Below are 22,463 nucleotides of genomic sequence, written 5' to 3' on the forward strand. Positions count from 1 at the left end.
GCTCCCGCCTGTAATGTCAGCACTTTGGCAGGTCGAGGCAGAGGATTGCTTGAACCAAGAGGCTCGAGACCAGCCTGGGCAACATAGCAAGACTTCGCCTCTACAAAAAATTTTAAAAAGAAATAGCGGGGTGCAGTGGCGCACGTGTAGTCCTAGCTACTCCAGAGTCTGAGGCAGGAGGATTGCTTGAGCTCAGGGTTCTAGGCTGCAGTGAGCCATGATCCCCTACTGTACTCCAGCCTGAGTGATAGAGATCCTATCTCTAAAATTTATTTTAAAAAGTTTAAAAAGTTAGCTGGGTGTGGTGGCTTATGCCTGTAATCCAGCATTTTGGGAGGCTGAGGCGGGTGGATCACAAGGTCAGGAGTTTGAGACCAGCCTGGCCAAAATGGTGAAACCCTGTCTCTACTAAAAAAATAAAAAAATTAGCCAGGCATGGTGGTGGGCGCCTGTGGTCCCAGCTACTCAGGAGGCTGAGGCAGGAGAATCGCTTGAACCCGGGAGGCAAATGTTGCAGTGAGGTGAGACTGCACCACCGTATTCCAGCCTGGGCAACAGAGAGAGATTCCAAAAATAATAATAATAACAATAATAAGTTGTTCAAGCATTGTACACACTTAAGGAAATGTCATTATATGAATAAAAAATTATCTGCAATCAACTCCAGATTCAAAAACTCTGAGAATAGATATTACTGTAGGTGAGGTCATTTGGTTACAAGTTTTAAAGTTCGTTTAGAATATAGTGGCTCACACCTGTAATCCCAGCATTTTCAGAGGCTAAGGCAGAAGGATCACTTCAGGCCAGGAGTTCAAAACCAGCCTGGGCAACATTGCAAGACCCCATCTCTGCAAAAAGTTTAAAAATTAGCCAGGTATGTAGGCTGGGTGCGGTAGCTCACGCCTGTAATCCCAGCACTTTGGGAGGCCGAGGTGGGCGGATCACCTGAAGACAGGAGTCTGAAACCAGCCTGGCCAACACCCTGTCTCTACTAAAAATACAAAAACTAGCTGGGCATGGTGACGCATGCCTGCAGTCCTGGCTACTCAGGAGGCTGAGGCAGGAGAATCGCTTGAACCTGGGAAGGGGAAGTTGCAGTGAGCTGAGATCGCGCCACTGCACTCCAGCTTGGGCAACAGAGCGAGACTTCGTCTCAAAAAAAAATAGCCAGGTGTGGTGGTACGCACCTGTAGTCCCAGCTATTCAGGAGGCTGAAGCGAGAGGATCTCCTGCTTTTCTCGAAGCCCATTTCTGATGTCAGCTATAATGAAAACAAGTCTGAAGAATGGAGACATCTGTGGTGCAAAGAAATATCTCATCTTCCAACCTAAATTAGAAACTAAGAAATATAGGTGTGTAAATCTGGGAGAAGAGGAAAGAATAAAATTATCACTTATGGAATTATTTGGATTGAGAGGCCCGGGGTAAATGATCTACCATGAAATAAACACAAATCAACCAGCAAACCTCTACACAATTATTGGGTACCTAATTTGTACCGAGCTGTCTAAAAGAAACAGGGAAACATAGGAGGGGGTACAGCAATGATCCACGTAAGCAGAGGGAAAGGCAGTGCCATGCCCAGGCTCTAAACGACACAGGGCAGGGGACAAGGCAGCAGGTGCAGGAAGAGTGAGGGCTAAGGTATGTTAGGGTGAAGGAGGGCAGAAAGGAAGGAAATAGGGAAAGAAATCACACACACACACTCATACACACACACATATACACATACATGCACACACACACACATGCACGCATGCGCGCACACACCTTCCATTCTGTGTGTCAGTTCCCCATGGATATGAATGGAACACGTGTGTGTGCAGGGAGGCTGGAATCACAGAGGCTGCTTGACAGCAAAGGGAAGGTGGTGTTTTAATTCTAAATTGTCCAAAATGCAGAAAGAAAGAAACTTCTCATTGGAAACTGTTGTATTTCCATGGCCCTTTATGTATTCTTTATTTTTTTTTTCCGACAGAGTTTCGATCTTGTTGCCCAGGCTGGAGTGCAATGGCGCAATCTTGGCTCACCACAACCTCCGCCTCCCAGGTTCAAGTGATTCTCCTGCCTCAGCCTCCCAAGTAGCTGGGATTACAGGCATGCACCACCATGCCCGGCTAATTTTGTATTTTTAGTAGAGACGGGGTTTCTCCATGTTGATCAGGCTGGTCTCGATCTCCCGACCTCAGGTGATCTGCCCGCCTCGGCCTCCCAAAGTGCCGGGATTTATGTATACTTTCATGTTGGCGTTAATCATCTCATGTTGGCACTACAGAAAAGTTGATTCTGCCACAGTCTGCCTGGTGGGCGAGGCTTGCTTTGTGCACAAAGCTTGGCAGCCAGCGGTGAACTGACCTTCCCCACTGCTGGCCCCCACTTTGTATGGCTATGTGATCATATTAATTTGGCCAGCCATGGTGGCTCAGGCCTGTAATCCCAGCACTTTGGGAAGCCAAGAGTTTGAGACCATCTTGGGAAACACAGCAAGACCCCATCTCTATGAAAAAAAGCTAAAAAACTAGCTGGACATGATCGTGGTGTGCCTGTAGTCCCAGGTACTCAGGAGGCTGAGGCGGGAGGATCACTTGAGCCCGGGAATCAGAGGCTACAGTGTGCCATGATCACACCACTGCACTCCCACCTGGGCAACAGAGTGAGACCTTGTCTCAAAAAATTTTTTAAAAATCATATTAGTTTACATTATATATTACATATATATTTAAATGACCCAATGTTTTGTGATCAATAATAATACACATATATTGTAGAATATTTGAAAAAATATAGGGAAAAAACCCCTAAAATTCACCCATGTGGCTGCTCTTTGCAAGAAAACCGTTGTTAAAATTCATTCTATTTTTCCCATTCACATTTAGTTGAAATACATACATTTTATACAGGTATATACATATATATGTATATATTTTTTCAAAGTTAATATCACACTGAATACACTACATTGCATCTTTTTTTGTATAAAACACTTAATTTAGGCCAGGAGCAGTGGCTTACGCCTGTAATCTCAGCACTTTGGGAGGCCGAGGCGGGTGGATCACCTGAGGTCAGGAGTTCAAGACCAGCCTGACCAACGTGGAGAAACCCCATCTCTACTAAAAATACAAAATTAGCCGGGTGTGGTGGTGCATGCCTGTAATCCCAGCTACTTGGGAGGCTGAGGCAGGAGAATTGCTTGGACCCAGAAGGTGGAGGTTGCAGTGAGCCGAGATAGCGCCACTGCACTCCAGCCTGGGCAACAAGAGCAAAACTCCATCTCAAAAAAAAAAAAAAAAAAAGAAAGAAAGAAAGAAAGAAAAAAGAAAAAATACAGGGAAAAAAAACCTCTAAAATTAACTCATGTGGCTGCTCTTCACAAGAAAACCACTGTTACAATTCACTATATTTTTTCCCATTCACATTTAGTTGAAAAATATACATTTTATACAGGTACATACATACATACGTATATATTTTTTCAAAGTTGGTATCACACTGAATACACTGAATAGACTGCATTGCATCTGTTTTTGGTAGAAAACACTTAATTTATTGGTCTTTGTGGAGAATTAGGTGCATCACCAGTGTGTTACAGCTGAGCCATTAGTTTTGTAGCTTCATCAACATTAACTGGTTTGCTCTGATGACGCTGCTGAGGAATCAGCTCTTTCTGCAGAAGATCAAGAGAAAGGCCTTTTGAGAAATGTGGAAGTTCCTCTTGTACACTTCCAAAAGCTTTGTTTACTCTGCTGACTTTTTCATCATTCATAATGTGTATCTTCTTAAGATTAGCGGTAATTGGTTTTACTCTGTTTTTAGCCTTAAAGCTTTTTTGGCTAGCTATGCGAAATACGTTCCTGGACTTCTGCCCTCTAAATTTGTTCTTGGCCATTGTCAGGAATTCAATACTTGCGTGCAGCTTCTTAAACTCCAGGTGACGCCGCATCTTTTTTTCACCTTAGATTACAGCATAGACATTTTACCATGAATACATAGTCTCCAAAAACGTGACTTTTGAGGTAGAATTACAGATAATTTTTTTTTTTTTTTTGAAACAGAGTCTCAAAAAGAAACATTTAAAAAACTGATGGGTGTGGGCTGGTGGCTCAAGCCTGTAATCCCAGCACTTTGGGAGGCCGAGGTGGGTGGATCACTTGAAGTCAGGAGATCGAGACCATCCTGGCTAACACGGTGAAACCCCGTCTCTACTAAAAATACAAAAAATCAGCCGGGCGTGGTGGTGGGCGCCTGTAGTCCCAGCTACTCGGGAGGCTGAGGCAGGAGAATGGCGTGAACCCAGGAGGTGGAGCTTGCAGTGAGCCGAGATTGCGCCACTGCACTCCCCCCGGGTGACAGAGCGAGACTCCGTCTCAAAAAAAAAAAAAAAAAAAAACCAAGAAACAAAAAAATTAGCCGGACATATGGCGTGCACCTGTAGTCCCAGTTACTCTGGAGGCTGAGGCAGGAGAATGGCTTGAGCCTGGAAGGCAGACGTTGCAGTGAGCCGAGATTGCATCACTGCACTCCAGCCTGGGTGATAGAGTGAGACCCTGTCTCAAAACAAAACAAAAAAACAACACCAAAAAAGACTGCTGGGTGTGGTGGCTCACACCTGTAATCCCAACACTTTGGGAGGCCAGAGTGGGACGATCACTTGAGCCCAGGATTTCAAGACTAGCCTGGGAAACAAAGTGAGACCCCCATCTCTACAATAATTTTTTTTTAATTAGCCCAGGCGCGGTGGTGTGCCTGTAGTCATAGCCACTCAGGAAGCTGAGGTGGGAAGATCTCTTGAGCCTGGAAGGTCAAAGCTGCAGTAAGCCATGATCATGCCACTGCACTCCAGCCTGGGTGACAGAATGAGACTGTCTCAATAAAAACACACTTACTTACATACATAAATACATAAATTGGAATCATACTGCATATAGAGTTGTTTTTCAAAACTCATTATTACATTGTGAATATTTCCGTATTTTAAATGCCATAAGACCTGTTTTTTTTTTTTTTTTTTTTTTGAGACACAGTTTCATTCTGTCACCCAGGTTGGAGGGCAATGGCACTGTCTGAGCTCACTGCAACCTCTGCCTCTGGGGTTCAAGCGATTCTTGTGCCTCAGCCTCCTGAGTAGCTGGGATTACAGGTGTGCGCCACTACGCCTGGCTAATTTTTTTATTATTAGTAGAGACGGAGTTTTGCCATGTTGGCCAGGCTGGTCTCGAACTCCTGACCTCAGGTGATCCGCCCGCCTCAGCATCCCAAAGTGCTGGTATTACAGTTGTGAGTCACTGTGCCCAGCCTAAGACCTGATTTTTGATGACTTCATAGCATTCTAGCCTGTGGATTTTCCTATATTCATTGAACCAATGTCCTATTACTATATGTAAGTTTATGTTTTCTTTTCCTTTCTTTCTTTTTTGCTTACAATTGTAAATAATTTGATGAATGTGCTGATTTTCAGTGTTGGGTAGTCCCATGGATATTTCCTTAGGATAAATTATTGACATAGAGTTGCTAGTCAAAGGCTATTAAACATTTCAATATTGCCAAACAAGTCTCAAAATGCTGTTATCAATGAGCATTGAGCATTGACAAAACCTGGGCCTTATCCCCTTTTTTTTTTTTAATTTTTTTGAGATGGAGTTTTGCTCTTGTTGCCCAGGCTGGAGTGCAATGGCACGATATCGGCTCACTGCAACCTCCGCCTCCCGGGTTCAAGCGATTCTCCTGCCTCAGCCTCCTGAGTAGCTGGGATTAGAAAGAAGCATGCACCACCACGCCCTGCTAATTTTGTATTTTTAGTAGAGACGGGGTTTCTCCATGTTGGTCAGACTGCTCTCCAACTCCCGACCTCAGGTGATCCACCCACCTCGGCCTTCCAAAGTGTTAGGATTATAGGTGTGAGCCACCGTGCCCGGCCACCTTACCCTTTTTAAATTCTTGCCAATTAGGTAGGCAAAAAATAAAAAGACTTCATATTGTTTAAATTTGCCTGTCTAGTAAGATTGAACAAGTTTTGAGCTCTACATTGGTCATTTGTGTATTTGTGAATTGCCTGTCGATTTCTATCTTAGGGTAGGTTAAGCTATGCTGTAGTAATAAGTAAACCCTGAACTGTTAATGCCTCAACCAAATGAAAGTTTACTTGTCAATGATTCTCCAGCAATGACTGAGAGATCCGCAAGTCCATTTTGTGATGCTGTCACCTTAGACCTGCATCCTCTGAGGGTGTCAACGGAAGGCAGTCACAGTATAGGTGGCCCCGACAGATTTCAAGAGATTGCAGCAAGGCAGTGCCCAACCCACTGAAAACTGGGACTCAAGTGAAAGGGTAAAATAATGAGACTCTGGAAGCTGGTGACTCAGAGAGAAATACTACAGAGCAGGGGTCCCCAACTCCCATGCCGGGGACCCTTACCAGTCTGTACCCTGTTAGGAACCGAGCCACACAGGATGGGGTGAGCAAGCATTCCCACCTGACCTCTGCCTCCTGTCAGATCAGCAGTGGCACTGGATTCTCACAGGAGCGGGAACTGTTGTGAACTGCATGTGAGGGATCTAGGTTGTCTGCTCCTTATGAGAATCTAATGCCTGATAATCCATCACTGTCTCCCATCACCCCCAGATGGGATCGTCTAGTGGCAGGAAAACAAGCTCAGGGCTCCCACTGATTCTACATTATGGTGGGTTGCAGTTGTTTCATTACATATTACAATGTAATAATAGTAGAAATAAAGTACAAAATAAATGTAATGTGCTTGAATCATACTGAAACCTTCCCCGGGCACTGTGCCCCAGTCTGTGGAAAAATTGCTTCCACAAAACCAGTCCCTTGTGCCAAAAAGGTTGGGGACCACTCCTACAGAGGAAGACACTTAGAAGATGAATCATGTACAGAATTTCTCTGCTGTTGTATAATGTAAGTATTTGGGATAGGATGTTCTCTAAAACATTGGTCAGAAACTGCTAGGTTATCCTTGCACTATAGAAAAGTCAATTCCGCCGGGCACGGTGGCTCACGCCTGTAATCCCAGCACTTTGGGAGGCTGAGGCAGGCAGATCACGAGGTCAGGAGTTTGAGACCAGCCTGACCAACATGGTGAAACCCCATCTCAACTAAAAACACAAAAATTAGCTGGGCCTAGTGGCGCGCACCTGTAATCCCAGCTACTCAGGAGACTGAGGTAGGAGAATCACTTGAACCCGGGAGGCAGAGGTTGCAGTGAGCCAAGATTGCACCACTGCACTCCAGCCTCGGCGACAGAGTGAGACTCTGTCTCAGAAAAAAATAAATTAATAAAAAGAAAAGACAAGTCAATTCCAGCTGGGTGCGATGACTCACGCCTGTAATCCCAGCACTTCGGGAGGCCAAGGTGGGCAGATCACCTGAGGTTGGGAGTTCGAGACCAGCCTGACCAACATGGAGAAACCCCGTCTCTACTAAAAATACAAAATTAGCCGGGCGTGGTGGCACATGCCTGTAATCCCAGCTACTCCAGAGGCTGAGGCAGGAGAATCTCTTGAACCCAGGAGGCGGAGGTTGCAGTGAGCTGAGATCACGCCATTGCACTCCAGCCTGGTCAACAAGAGCGAAACCACATCTCAAAAAAAAAAAAAGAAAGAAAAAAGAAAAGTCGATTCCAGCCGGGCGCAGTGGCTCATGCCTGTAATCCCAGCACTTTGGGAGGCCAAGGTGGGCAGATCACCTGAGGTTGGGAGTTCGAGACCAGCCTGACCAACATGGAGAAACCCCGTCTCTACTAAAAATACAAAATTAGCCGGGCGTGGTGGCACATGCCTGTAATCCCAGCTACTCCAGAGGCTGAGGCAGGAGAATCTCTTGAACCCAGGAGGCGGAGGTTGCCGTGAGCTGAGATCACGCCATTGCACTCTAGCCTGGTCAACAAGAGCGAAACCACATCTCAAAAAAAAAAAAAAGAAAGAAAAAAGAAAAGTCGATTCCAGCCGGGCACAGTGTCTCATGCCTGTAATCCCAGCACTTGGGGAGGCAGAGGGGGGCAAATCACCTGAGGTCAGAAGTTTGAGACCAGCCTGGCTAACATGGTGAAACCCCATCTCTACTAAAAATACAAAAATTAGCGGGGTGTGGTGGCGGGTACCTGTAATCTCACCTACTGGGGAGGCTGAGGCAGGAGAATCTCTTGAACTCTGGAGGTGGAGGTTGCAGTGAGCCGAGATCGTGCCACTGCACTTCAGCTTGGGTGACAAGAGCGAGACTCAGTCTCAAAAAAAAAAAAAAAAAAAAAAGGTAAGTCGATTCTGCCACAGCCTGTCTAGTGGCCCACGTTTGCTTTGTGCACAAAGCTTGGTAGCTAGTGGTGAACAGACCTGCCACCCTGCTGGCCCCCGCTTGGTATGGCTGTGTAAGCAATTCTTGTTCACTGATTTTAAAAATACCATGTTTGAGGCAACAGCTTTGCTTCATGGCTGCAAAAATCTCTCCCCTGGTGAAGAAGCTACCCCGTGGGTATACGGCCTTGTGGTGGGGAGAATAACGGTCCTCCCCAAAGATGTTCACGCCCTAATCCCTGGAATCTGTGGCTGTTACCTTACCTGGCAAAAGGGATTTTCCAAATGTGATTAACGTTAAGGACTTTGATAGGGGGATCACCCCGTATTATCTGGGTGAGCCCACTGCAATCATGAGTCCTGAAAATGGAGAAACGTTTCCTGGATGTAGTAAGAAAGAGATATGCCAGCCAGGTGCGGTGGCTCATGCCTGTAATCCCGGCACTTTGGGAGGCTGAGTGACCCCCATCACTTGAGGTCAGGAGTTCGAGATCAGCCTGCCCAACATGGTGAAACCCCATCTCTACTAAAAATACAAAAATTAGCCGGGCATGGTGGGAGGTGCCTGTAATCCCAACTACTTGGGAGGCTGAGGCGGGAGAATGGCTTGAACCTGGGAGGCGGAGCTTGTAGTGAGCGGAGATCACGCCACTGCACTCCAGCCTGGGTGACAGAGTGAGACTCTGCCTAAAAAAAAAAAGAAAAAAAAAAAAAAAGAATTAAGCAACATATAGGACTGGATACTGGGTAATGATCAACGTTAACATTTTATAGGCCGTTTTAATTTTTTTTTTTTGAGATGGAGTCTCGCTCTGTCGCCCAGGCTGGAGTGCAGTGGCACGATCTCGACTCACTGCAAGCTCCGCCTCCCAGGTTCAAGCCATTCTCCTGCCTCAGCCTCTCCGAGTAGCTGGGATTACAGGCACCCGCCACCATGCCCGGCTAATTTTTTGTATTTTTAGTAGAGACGGGGTTTCACCGTGGTCTCGATCTCCTGACTTTGTGATCCGCCGCCTCGGCCTCCCAGAGTGCTGGGATTACAAGCGTGAGCCACCGCGCCCGGCCTCGTTTTTTTCTTTTCTGTTTTTTTTTTTTTGAGACAAAGTCTCGCTCTGTCACCCATGCTGGAGTGCAATGGCACGATCTTGGCTCACTGCAACCTCTGGCTCCCGGGTTCAAGCGATTCTCCTGCCCCAGCCTCCCGAGTAGCTGGGATTATAGGTGCGCACCACCACACCCGGATAATTTTTGTATTTTTAGTACAGACAGGGTTTCACCATGTTGGTAAGGTTGGTCTCGAACTGCTGACCTCGGGATCTGCCAGCCTCGGCCTCCCAAAGTGCTGGGATGACAGGCGTGAGCCACTGTGCCCAGCCAGGCCCTTATAATTTTCTACGGGCCTATGCTTGTTCTAAAAATATAATAGTAGAAAACACACTGGCTTTTCTGCAATCAGATCACTAATAGAGTGAGTTTTCTGTTTTTGTTTGTTTGTTTGTTTGTTTGTTTGTTTTGAGACGGAGTTTCGCTCTTGTTGCCCAGGCTGGAGTGCAATGGCGCAATCTCAGCTCGGCACAACCTCCGCCTCCCAGGTTCAAGCAATTCTCCTGCCGCAGCCTCCCGAGTAGCTGGGATTACAGGCATGCACCACCATGCCTGGCTAATTTTGTATTTTCTTTTTTTTTTTTTTTTTTTTTAGCAGAGATGGGGTTTCTCCATGTTGAGGCTGGTCTCGAACTTCTGACTTCAGGTGATCCGCCCACCTCGGCCCCCCAAAGTGCTGGGATTACAGGCGTGAGCCACCGCACATGGTCTTTTCTGTTTCTATGAAGCTTTGATAGGCTTCATTACATGCAGTTTCTCCTAAGCATAAAACTCCCTCTGAAAGCAACAGGACTTAGAAAGGACAAAAACCATGGAAAGCATCAACTGTGTGTTCAGTGCTGGATGTCATATTTAAGGACTGTGAAACGTAGGGAAACTTACAGCACCTTCCTTACCCTGAATTCACAGACAAATCAAAGCATTTGGCATTGGCAGCAGGCTTGGATTCCAGGCAATTCCAGAACCAGTCTAGATGCCTATGGGAGCACCGTCTCACCTACTGCTTTACCGAATGAAGACCTTGTGTAATCCATCCACTCCCATCCTCATTCAAGACACAGAGATTTCAGCATAGATAACAGGATATTCCCAGGCTTCACTTTTAACAGGACATTGGTGATTTTCACTGTGCCCCTTGGCATATGTAATGACTATAATTCATATGCGGATTCTTAATGAGAAAAATTTACAAATTACTGTTCAAAGTAAATTATGTTGTCTATGCAACCACTGCCTAAGCTAGAGGAAAGGGTGGGCTGGGTGTGGAAGTGAGCAACTCAAGGATATATACAAACAAATATACACAAAAACACACACACGGACACGACTGGTATCTGAAGCGTCGATGACTACGCTTGCTCTATTACCTAAAAATAAAGTGCAGCACAGTATAGCTATTCTGGTCTCTATACAATTAAAACTAAGATTGAGAACTCAGATATAACTCTTTTAAAGGGAATGCTAAATTCAGACTGAAAATGCCTGGCTCATTCATCTATAAACAGAACAATTTGAAACACATTTATTCATTATAAAGCATGCAGAACTTGGAAGACTATAATCTACTATTTTTAAAGACTGAGCCAAAAAGTACATATTGCTTATACAATATTTCAATTTTTCTTGGACTGAAACACAATAAATACCTCAACACAGCCTGTGCAAATAAGCAGCTTCAATATTCCTTCAGATTATTCCTAGTGCCTGAATGACTGACTCCACCATGATCCAGCTGCCTCAGGTTGTATTCACTAATTCTATGCATTCTAACAGACTGTATTTTTGGATGCAACTATACTATATGATTTACAGAAAACAAATCAGTATACCAAGATAAATACACTTCAGTGTGAAGTTTTAAAGTGCTACCAGAAAGTCAAATCGACTACTTACTCTCCACTCACTTTTTAAATTTTATTTTTTGTAGAGACGAGGTCTCACTATGTTGCTTAGGCTGGTCTCGAACTCCTGTGCTCAAGTGATCCTCCTGTCTCAGCTTCCCAAAGTGCTAGGATTATAGACGTGAGCCACCATGTCTGGCCTGTCCACTGACTTTTAAAATGTTCTACATAGATTTTGCCAAGAACTCCAATATTCAGTGACAATCATTTGAGTCTTCGTGGAGCTTTCAAAATACAGGTCTTTCTGCTGCCTTGCTGGGCCGTAGCTCAGATGTGGGAAGTAAACAGAATGGTCAAGATTTGGTCGGAATGGTCGGTAAGAGAATGGTCGAGGAAAAAATTCCTGCAAAATATGTTGCAAAAGGCTGGGCATGGTGGCTCACACCTGTGATCCCAGCACTTTGGGAGGCCAAGGCAGGCGGATCGTTTGAGCTCAGTTCGAGACCAACATGGCAAAACCCTGTCTCTACTAAAAATACAAAAATCAGTCAGGCTTGGTGGCATGCGCCTGTAATCCCAGCTACTCGGGAGGCTGAGGCGGGAGAATCACTGGAACCTGGGAGACAGAGGTTGCAGTGAGCTGAGATCGCACCACTGCACTCCAGCCTGGCTGATAGAGAGACTCCGCCTCAAAAAAAAAAAAAAAAAAAAAGTTGCAAAACCAGGTCCTCTTACTTTCCCTGCCTTCCTCTGCAACATTCCTTTTGAGATCAGTTTTTTTTTTAAATTATACTTTAAGTTTTAGGGTACATGTGCACAACGTGCAGGTTTGTTACATATGTATACATGTGCCATGTTGGTGTGCTGCACCCATGGTTCTGAAACTTTTTTGGCCATAGCCCCATAGGGTCCTTATTTAAGATATTCCCAAAGTCCCACACCCCAGAAATTCTGATTCTGTGAATCTGGAAAATCAGGGGCAGGAATGTTGCCTTCTAACACCCCGGGTGATTCTAACACAGGTGAATCTGGGCCACTATACAATACTGGTTTTTGTTTGCTTGTTGAGACTTGAGTCTGTTTCTTGAGACTGAGTCTCTGTCGCCCAAGCTGGAGTGCAGTGGTGTGATGGCAGGTTGCTCACTGCAACTTCTATCTCCCGGCTTCAAGCGATTCTTGTGCCTCAGCCTACCCAGTAGCTGGGAATACAGGTGTGCGCCACCAAACCCAGCTAATTTTTGTATTTTTAGTAAAGACAGGATTTCACCATGTTGGCAAGTCTGGTCTTGAACTCTGGACCTCTGGTCATCTGCCCACCTCGGCCTCCCACAGTGCTGATATTACAGGTGTGAGCCACCATGCCCAGCCAACACTGCTTTAAATACAAATTCTTCCTCTTGGGATCATAAGACTTACACGGACCTCTAAGTACCCAACATTTTCTCTTTATAAATATCAATCTTCACAAATATTATTTCCTTAAGTACATACTCCACTTAGCTCCCTCCTCTCAATAGGCCTGCCACTGAGGAAAACACCAGCTCTCACGGCACAGGCTACACTGAAGTTCAGTCATCGTTATTTAAAAAAAAAAAAAAAAAAAAGCTCAACAGTAGGTTTATCTCACTAGAGGTTTCCAACACACTTTATTTTGCAGACCACTGGTTTGTAGCTTTTGAGGACCAACATCTCTATCAATTCCTATAAAATGTCCAATCACTTTCAGTTCCGTAGCAGGCTCTTCCATACTGCACACCATGCTTATGGCTGGAGGTCCAGTTACACATGCATGAAGGCTGCCCTGCCCACTGGTTCCTGGAGGAGGGCGCGTCCGAGTTAAAGCCTCTTCCAGGAGCTTGAACTTCCCAGGGGTCATTTCCTTTGGCAAGAAGTCAGTTTACATGTGCAGCTTTGGTGCCTGTGAGCAGAAAGCACCAGAAATGGGCAGGATGTGCTGCTTTTTCTCTCACGAAGATGGGCACTTGAGGATCCAGCGCCCTTGTGCTTAATGACAGGAATCCCTCCTCATTGCTTAGTAGGTTAAAATATAAGGAAGCCTCCACTTTACATAACACAGAGAACACCTTTTTAGATTGCCTATTTATTCTAGAACTACAAAATTTAATTCAAGAAAATATAGGTCCCATGAAAGACTTAAAAGTTTTATAAAACTAAAATCTAGTTTTTCCCGATAAATTGTACTTTAGGCAAAACCCTCCCAACGCTTCTAAAATAATACTAAAAGGGGCATCTGATTATACAAGAGCAATTTAAAAAATTAAATATTTATTTGAATAACAAGTTTAAGTTCGAGCTGCAATGTTGGCAATGCAGGTTTTTAACACAGATCACAAAAAGCGTGCACAAAAAAGTACTGGCGCAAAGGACAAAATAATGCTAAGAATTAGGCCAAACAGCTGCTGATTTTAAGAAAACAAAAGGCCTGAAATCACTGTACAAAATAGAAAATGTATTAAACACTACCATCCACAGAACAGTCTTTACTATTGATTATATTTAAAAATTATTTGTGTAATTATATATTGAATTGTAAATGAGTATTATACATGAACCTCCATTCGGAAGGCAATTCCTTGTAGCACTATAGAACATCTAATAACATTGCAAAAAGTATCCTTTTTTGCTATCGATAAAACAGTTAATGGTATTACTGTAAATATCAGGAAGGCTACAAAAAAAGAAATAAGATTTCTTTTTTGTCTTCAAAGTGTTTTCCATGCAATGAAGCACTTGCTGTGTTGAACTGAATGCACTACTGGAGAATGTTCTGGGTCCGAGATGCTCTTGAGAGACAAGACTAGGCTTTTCAAATCAAACACTCAAAGGAATCATGCAACCCTCTTATGACTGGGATACCGTCATGTGCCACTTACCAATGCTGTCTCTCCAGAAAACCATTCAAGACGCTTAAAAAAAAAAATCAGACTTATATGATAAATATACATAAAATGAAGACACCAACTGCTATTTGACACGACTACGGGTAATGCCTGTGCTATGTGAAAGCACCTTTAAAAAGCCTATGCGGCAAGAGATAAGTGTCTAAAGATTCAAAATGAATCAACAGTATTGGATAACAATATAATTCTCAACTCAGAAGCTGCCTCAAGATTAGGTGCATCTTCAGTTAATGTAACAGGAAAAAAAGGCAATGGATTTTATTTTATTAATTGTATCCACTTACAAACCGACCTAAGGTCACCCCGATGTGTAGACACAATGAGATTTTTGTTGTTTATAGTCTTTAATTGAAGTGATAAGGGAAATAGATCTATTTAAAAACAAAACCAAACAGCTATTTCTGTCTAGATTAAGAGGTGGCCCCGGGTGTGGGATTCACATTTTGAGTGGCCACTTGTGGTGCGACCTCGATGATCCGGGGTTTGTCTATGATTCTGGCTGTGCGGTTGCCCTTCTCTACAATCCCAATAATCCATGCTTGGTGGCCTTCACCATATTTGGGGGACTTTATCTCTGCACAGAACCGAGCTGCTTGCTCACGTGGTAAACAGATCAGAAGGCCGCCTGGCAAAAGAAAACAAGAATGACTGTTAGTGTTGACATGACAGCAGCTTCTCTGCCTCTGCTGCTTCTGCAGAGATCCAACTTCCATCAACAACTTGCTGCCACCTATATGCAAGTAGCTCTTCCCATTCAACTAAGCAGCTTTTTTTTGAGACAGGGTCTCACTCTGTGGCCCAAGCTGGAGTGCAGTGGTACAATCACAGCTCACTGCAGCCTCAATGTCCTGGCTCAGGTGACCCTCCCACTTCAGCTTTCCCAGTAGCTGTGATTACAAGTGTGCACCACCACACCTGGCTAATTTTCTGTAGAGACAAGGTTTCACTGTGTTGTCCAGGCTGGTCTAAAACTCCTGGACTCAAGCAATCCACCTGCCTTGGCCTCCCAAAGTGCTGAGATTACAGGAATGAACCACCACTCCCAGCCTAAGAGGCCTGTTCTATGCTGTAATTAAGCAATTGCTAGTAAACTCCTAACACACACACATATACACTCCAACTTTCAACTGTGAAAATGACCTATTCGTGAACCACATAACACTGTGTAGGGGTAAGGTGTTTGGGGCTTCAATAACCCATGTGGTAGCTATTTTTTCCAAGCTACACTGAAACAAATATTGACAAACAAAAGGGAACTTTTGATTCTCTACATCGACTCTCTCATTTTACCGAGAATGCTTTTTTGTATTTTTAGAAAATTTAAGACTCATGAAACAGTGTATGCCCCAAAGTATCTAGGTTCCAGTCATGACTCTGTCATTATATCCAAAAGACAAACAGTATAAAATACATTAAAATAAACCTTTGTTGCTCTTTCCAGTAAATAGGCCATAAATTTTTTTTTTTTTTGAGACGGAGTCTCGCTGTCTCCCAGGTTGGATTGCAGTGGTGTGATCTCGGCTCACTGCAAGCTCCACCTCCCGGGTTCACACCATTCTCCTGCCTCAGCCTCCTGAGTAGCTGGGACTACAGGCGCCCGCCACCACACCCGGCTAATTTTTTGTATTTTTAGTAGAGACAGGGTTTCACCGTGTTAGCCAGGATGGTCTCGATCTCCTGACCTCGTGATCCACCCGCCTTGGCCTCCCAAAGTGCTGGGATTACAGGCGTGAGCCACTGCACCGGGCCAAAATTTATTTCTCTAAGTAGAAATAAGATGATGAGGAAAAACTGTAGTCTACTTCTACAAAATGTAAAAACCTTGTGGCTGGGCATGGTGGGTCACACGTGTAATCCCAGCACTTTGGGAGGCCGAGGCGGGTGGATCACCTGAGGTCAGGAGGTAGTTCAAGACCAGCCTGGCCAACATGGTAAAACCTCGTCTCTAAATTAGCTGGGCATGATGGCACAGCCCTGTAATCCCAGCTACTCGGGCTGAGGCAAGAGAATCGCTTGAACCGGGGAGGGGGAGGTTGCAGTGAGCTGAGATCGCGCCATTGCACTCCAGCCTGGGTGACAAGAGGAAAACTCCATCATAAAATTAAAAACTTCCTATTTCTGAAGAAAGGAAACAAATTTAAATGGCTGGTAACATTCGTCAATTCATTCAATTTCCATTCAGTGCCCAATTATGTGGCAGACACTGTCCTGGCCAGAGCCTGAACCAGCAGGGGAAAAAAACCCTGCCCTGTTGGAGCTTACTTCTAGAAAATGGTTTGTTTTTTTAAACGGGAGGCTGAAGCGTCCTCTATAAAGGCGGTGAGAGGCCTGGCAGAGTCCTGAAGCCCCCTCGCCACAGCACAGGTCGACGTGACCAGGGCTTTGTGGTCCCAGCACTGTGGTCCCTTGCCCCGGCCTACTACGGAATCTCCCAGGCAGCCTTCACAGATGCTGAGGCCCAGGCCCACCCGAGATGGATCCCACCGTTTTTGGGAGGCTGGGGCTAGGCATGTGTATTTTTCTTTTTTTTTTTGAGACAGAGTCTCACTCTGTCGCCCAGGCTGTAGTGCAGTGGGGCGATCTTGGCTCACTGCAACCTGTGCCTCCTGGGTTCAAGCGATTCTCCTGCCTCAGCCTCTGGAGTAGCTGGGATTACAGGGCACACGCCACGACGCCCCGCTAATTTTTGTATTTTTAGTAGAGACAGGGTTTCACCATGTTGGTCAGGCTGGTCTCGAACTCCTGACCTCGACCTCCCAAAGTGCTGGAATTACAGGCGTGAGCCACCAGGCCTGGCCGGCATGTGTATATTTAAAATCCTAAGGTGATTCCACTCTTTTGCGGGTAGAAAACTAGAGTTCTAGAGGAAAGGAAATAGAAAAAGAGAGAAACCGAAAAAAAGGGAAAAACAGGGAGACTTAAAAGATGAAAACAGTAAAGGTAAAGGGAACAAAGGGGGCAAAAGAGAAATGGTACTTCAGGAGGACGCGCCATCTGGCTCCAGCTGGGGCTGCGGGAGTGGGAATGAGCGATGGCGAGCCTGTAGGCTGTGGGTGGCGGCCTCGGCGGCCGGCAGGCCATGCTGGAGTACCTGCCATGATGAAGAGGAGGACGTCCCACAAGTTCCGGACAGATGTGGCCACCAAATTAATCAGGAAACAAAAGGAGCTTAATCTTAGAAAAATGATAAGGGATATAAAAGCTCCCTAGGAGTCAAACTACTGGGGCGTATGGTGTCAGACCTGCACTGCTGTCTGATGGCTCTCTCTACCTACGCTTGCTCCATCTCCCGTTTATCCTCCATTTATGTTTCCTCTAATAAATTACTGCACATCTAAGAAAAAAGAAAAATGGCATTTTAAAGACATAATATCCTATTGCATTCTTTTTTATTCTGTATCATTCTCTTTTCTTTTTTTTTTTTTTTTAAGGCAGAATCTCGCTCTGTCACCCAGGCTGGAGTGCAGTGGCGCAATCTCGGCTCACTGCAACCTCTGTCTCCCAGGTTCAAGTGATTCTCCTGGCTCAGCCTCCCAAGCAGCTGGGATTAAAGGCATGGACCACCACGCCCAGCTACTTTTTTTTTGTATTTTTAGTGAAGATGGGGTTTCACCATGTTGGCCAGGCTGGTCTTCAACTCCTGATCTCACGTGATGTGCCTGCCTCAGCCTCCTGAGGTGCCAGTATTACAGGCAAGAGCCACCACACCTGGCCCCTTTTCTCTCTATCATTCTTAAAACAACGTTAGACAATTTTCAAGGAAAAAAATATCACCTGTTCAAAGTAACCTAGGGGTATTACAGTTAATTTCAAATGCGAAGCTTTCAGTAAAAACTGAATGCTACCTTATTTCCCCCATCACCATATCCTTGCATCAAAAAGAGCACAGGCCACTCAACCTCAGCAAGGCTGCTGGATCCACCCAGGATGGCGGGGACCAGACCCACCGGGAGGAGGAAAGGCACCAGCTGCTGCGGAGGCCGAGGTCAGCAGCATGGAACTCGAACAGAGTGGGGGCCCACTCGGGGTGGGGCTGCTGCTTTCTCGCTGAGCTTTCTGTTAGCCTCACTATTTAGTCCTCAGATGCGCCCAGCATCCTGTACCTGAAGTCTCCGGGCAGGTCCCGTGCATGAGGCCGAACATGTTTCCGCAGGCCTTGCTCACCGCAGCCATCTTGGCCAGCACCGGGAGGTTGTGAATTACAAACGACACCTCGTTCCTCTGCTGCTTGGCCAGGTTCTGCGCATGGCCCAAAATCCCGAAGCCCGTGATGTCAGTGGCGGCGTGGGCATTGAACGTGTGCATGAGTCCTGCAGCTGGGAGAGAGAGGGGGCGGCTCTGAGAAAAAACACCTTTCCTCAACTCAAAAATCTTACGTCCACAATTAATCTGCAACTTCCTTACTTGTCAGGGAGATGACGTATCGGAATAATGAAAACGCAATGTAAAATCAACCAAAGACATAGTGAAATTCCAAAAGTTCTTATTTCACTTTGAGCCACCTGAAAACTATCAGAAGCTTCAATTAATAGTAGTTTTCCAGTAAACTAAAAAAACTATGCAGAGGGATTATGATCTCAGTGGAAGGTAAACCGGCCAAGACCATCCTAAAACCAAAGACCGGCACTTTTTTCCTTTTTTGAGATGGAGTCTCGCTCTGTCATCCAGGCTGGGGTGCAGTCGTACGATCTCGGCTCACTGCAACCTCTGCCTCCAGGGCTCAAGTGATTCTCCTGCCTCAGCCTCCTGAATAGCTGGGACTACAGGTGCGCACCACCACGCCCAGCTAATTTCTGTATTTTTAGCAGAGACAGGGTTTCACCATATTGGCCAGGCTGATCTTGAACTCCTGACCTCATGATCCGCCCGCCCTGGCCTCCCAAAGTGCTGGGATTACAGATGTGAGCCACCACACCCGGCCAAGACCAGCACTTTTTAAGAAGGCCTTGCTCAGTATCAAGGTACTCCCGCGAAAGGTGAATTGCGTGCAAGTTTATTTTTAAATTTCTTTCTTTTTTTTTTTTTTAAGAGACAGAGTCTTGCTCTATTGACCAGGCTGGAGTGCAGTGGCATGATCATAACTCACTGCACTTGGGCTCAGGCAATCGTCCTGCCTCAGCCTCCCAAAGCGCTGGGATCACAAGTGTGAGCCACTGCTCAATAATATTCCATACTACAGATACACTACATTTTGTTTATCCATTCATCCACTCACCTACTATTATTTAATTATCCATTCACCCGACCTATTATTTAATTTTAAAAAAATTTACAGACTTTATTTTTTGGAGCAGTTTTGCGTTTAGAAAGAAATTAAGTGGGAAGTAACAAATCCTCAGTGCTCTGCTCTACCTGATCCCCTTCCTCTCCGATAACCTCTGGCCACCACTGATCCTTTCTGCATCTCTACAGTTTTGCAGAATGTCATGCAGTTGGAATCCTTCTGTATGGAGCTTTTTCAGACTGGCTTCTTTCACTTAGTAATATGCACTTAAGATTCCTCCACATCTTTTCATGGCTTGATAGCTCATTTCTTTTTACTGCTCAATTATATTCCATCATACAGATACACTACATTTTGTTTATCCATTCATCCACTCACCTACTGAAGAAATGAATGGCTGCTTCCAAGTTCTGGCAATTATGAATAATGCTGCTATGAACATTTGTCTGCAGGCTTTTGTGTGAATGTAAGTTTTCAACTTTTTTGAGTGAATATCAAGGAGCACAATCGCTGCATCATATAATAACATATTTAGTTTCATAAGAAACTGCCAAACTGACTTTTAAAGTGGCTGTGCCAGTTTTCAGTCCTACCAGTAATAAATGAGAGTTCCTTCCTGTTTCTCTACATCCTTGCCAGCAGTTGGTATTATCAGTGTTTTTGGGTTTTTTTTGAGACAGGGTCTCGCTTTGTCACCCAGGCTGGAGTGAGGTGGTGCGATCACAGCTTACTGCAGCCTCGACCTCCTGGGCTCAAGGGATCCTCCCAACCTCAGCTTCCCAAGTAGCTGGGACTAAGGCGCAAGCCACCATGCCCAGCTAATTTTTTGTATTTTTTTGGTAGAGATGGGGTTTCACCATGTTGCCCAGGCTATTCTCAGTGTTTTGGATTTTAGCCATTCTAACAGGTATGTGGTGGCATCTCAATCACTGCTTTAATCTACAGTTCCCTATTGACGTACCACACTGAAGGTTTCCTTTTATGCTTATTTGCCATCTGCGTTATCTTCTTTCATGGTGTCTGTCAAGGTCTTTGGGCCATGTTTAAATTGAGTTGTTTTTTATTATTGAGTTTTAAGAGTCCTTTGTATATTTTGGATACCTGACCTTGAACAGGTATGTGTTTGGCAAAATTTTTCTCCCAGTCTGTGGCTTGTCTTTTCATTTCCTTAACAGTGTTTTTCACCGAGCAGAAGTTTTTTATATTAATAAAGCCAAACTTAGCAATTTTTTAATAGATAGTGCTTTTGGTGTTATAAAGTCATCACCAAACCCAAAGCCACCTCAATTTTCTCTGATGTTACCTTCTTCCAGTTTTATATTGTTGTGTTTTATTTAGGTCTACGAATCATCAATATGGTCTGGCTCTGTGTCCCCACCTAAATCTCATCTCGAATTGTAATCCCCACATGTCAAGAGAGGGACCTGGTGGGAGGTGACTGAATCATGAGGGCGGTTTCCCTCGTGCTGTTCTCGTCAGGGTGAATGAATTCTCATGAGATCTGATGGTTTTGTAAGTGGCAGTTTCCCCTGCTCTTCTCTGTCCTGCTGCCTCATGAAGAACCTAGGTGCCTGTTTCCCCTTCACCATCTGCCACGACTGTAAGTTTCCTGAGGTCTCCCCAGCCATGTGAAACTGTGAGTAAATTAAACCTCTTTCCTTTATAAATTACCCAGTCAGCTGGGCATGGTGGCTCACGCCTGCAATTCCAGCACTTTGGGAGGCCAAGGTCAGGAGTTCAAGACCAGCCTGACCAACATGGTGAAACCCCGTCTCTACTAAAAATACCAAAATTAGTGGGGTGTGGTGGCGTGCGCCCTGTAATCCCAGCTACTCCAGAGGCTGAGGCAGGAGAATCGCTTGAACCTGAGAGGCACAGGTTGCAGTGAGCCGAGATCACCCCACTGCACTCCAGCCTGGGCGACAGCGAGACTCCGTCTCAAAAAAAAAAAAAAAAAAAAAAAAAAAAAAAAAAAAAAGAGACTCAGTCTCAAAAAAAAAAAAAAAAAATAATAATAATAATAATAAATGAATAAATAAATTATCCAGTCTTGGCTATTTATAGCAGTGTGAAAACACACTAAACATTCATTTTGAGTTAATCTTCACGAAAGGTATAAGATCTGCATCCAGAATAATTTTCTTCATGTGAATGTCCACTTGTTCCAGCACCATTTGGTGAAAAGACTCTTTTCTCCAATGAATTGCCTTTACTCCTTTGTCAAAAATCAGTTGACTAGGCCAGGTGCAGTGGCTCACGCCTGTAATCCCAGTACTTTGGGAGGCCGAGACAGGCGGATCACAAGGTCAGGGGTTCAAGACTAGCCTGGCCAACATGGTGAAAACCCATCTCTACTAAAAATACAAAAATTAGCCAGGCGTGGTGGCGGGCGCCTATAATCCCAGCTACTTGGGAGGCTGTGGCAGAAGAATCACTTGAAGTCGGAAGGCGGAGGTTGCGGTGAGCCAAGATCCTGCCACTGCACTTCAGCCTGGGCGAAAGAGCAAAACTCCATCTCAAAAAAAAAAAAAAAATCAGTTGACTATAATATGGACCTACCTCTGGATTCTCTATTCTGTTCCTCTGATCTATAACTTTTTTTTTTTTTTTGAGACATGATCTCACCCTGTCACCCAGGCTGAAGCGTAGGGGTATGATCACCACTCACTGCAGTCTCAACATCCTGGGCTCAAGTAATCCTCCCACCTCAGCCTCTCGAGTAGCTTAGACTACAGGAATGCACCAGGCGCAGCTAAAGAGACGAGATGGGGTCTCACTATGTTGCCTAGGCTGGTCTCCAACTGCTGGACTCAAGTGATCCTCCTGCCTCAACCTCCCAAAGTGCTGGATTATAGGTGTGAGCCACTGTGCCTGGCTATAACTTTCTTACAAGTAACAACAAATTACAGAAAATTTTTATTTCCAAATGAATTGTAAAACAATAGGTAAAAGATAATTGTGGTACATTTCTCTGGTAGAACATTATCTAGTCATTAAAAATTATGTGTACTATGGCTCACGCCTATAATCCTAGCACCTTGGGAGGCCAAGGAGGGTAGATCACCTGAG

At 45.0% G+C, this 22,463-nt stretch overlaps 1 protein-coding gene and 1 pseudogene across 8 annotated transcripts in view; both read right to left on the reverse strand.

Annotated features, from left to right (window-relative positions):
- Positions 3,528-3,942, reverse strand: RBISP1 (RBIS pseudogene 1; annotated as a pseudogene).
- The window catches only part of SEPHS1 (selenophosphate synthetase 1), a 30,866-nt gene continuing 21,269 nt past the window's right edge, over positions 12,867-22,463 (reverse strand). For 4 of the 8 annotated variants that reach the window (NR_164738.1, NM_001195602.2, NM_012247.5 and 1 more), the window contains 2 exons: positions 18,274-18,486; positions 12,867-14,795 (listed from right to left, as the gene is read on the reverse strand). Coding sequence is in view for 7 of the 8 variants with exons in the window: in NM_001195602.2 (NP_001182531.1) it covers positions 14,581-14,795; positions 18,274-18,486 (428 nt within the window). In the remaining variant the exon portion in view is untranslated. The remainder of the gene's footprint in view (positions 14,796-18,273; positions 18,487-22,463) is intronic. The other 4 variants (XM_047424841.1, NM_001375769.1, XM_047424840.1 and 1 more) reach the window with 2 other exon arrangements.

The sequence above is a fragment of the Homo sapiens genome, chromosome 10 (genome assembly GCF_000001405.40).
Source record: "Homo sapiens chromosome 10, GRCh38.p14 Primary Assembly".
NCBI classification, from domain to species: domain Eukaryota; kingdom Metazoa; phylum Chordata; class Mammalia; order Primates; family Hominidae; genus Homo; species Homo sapiens.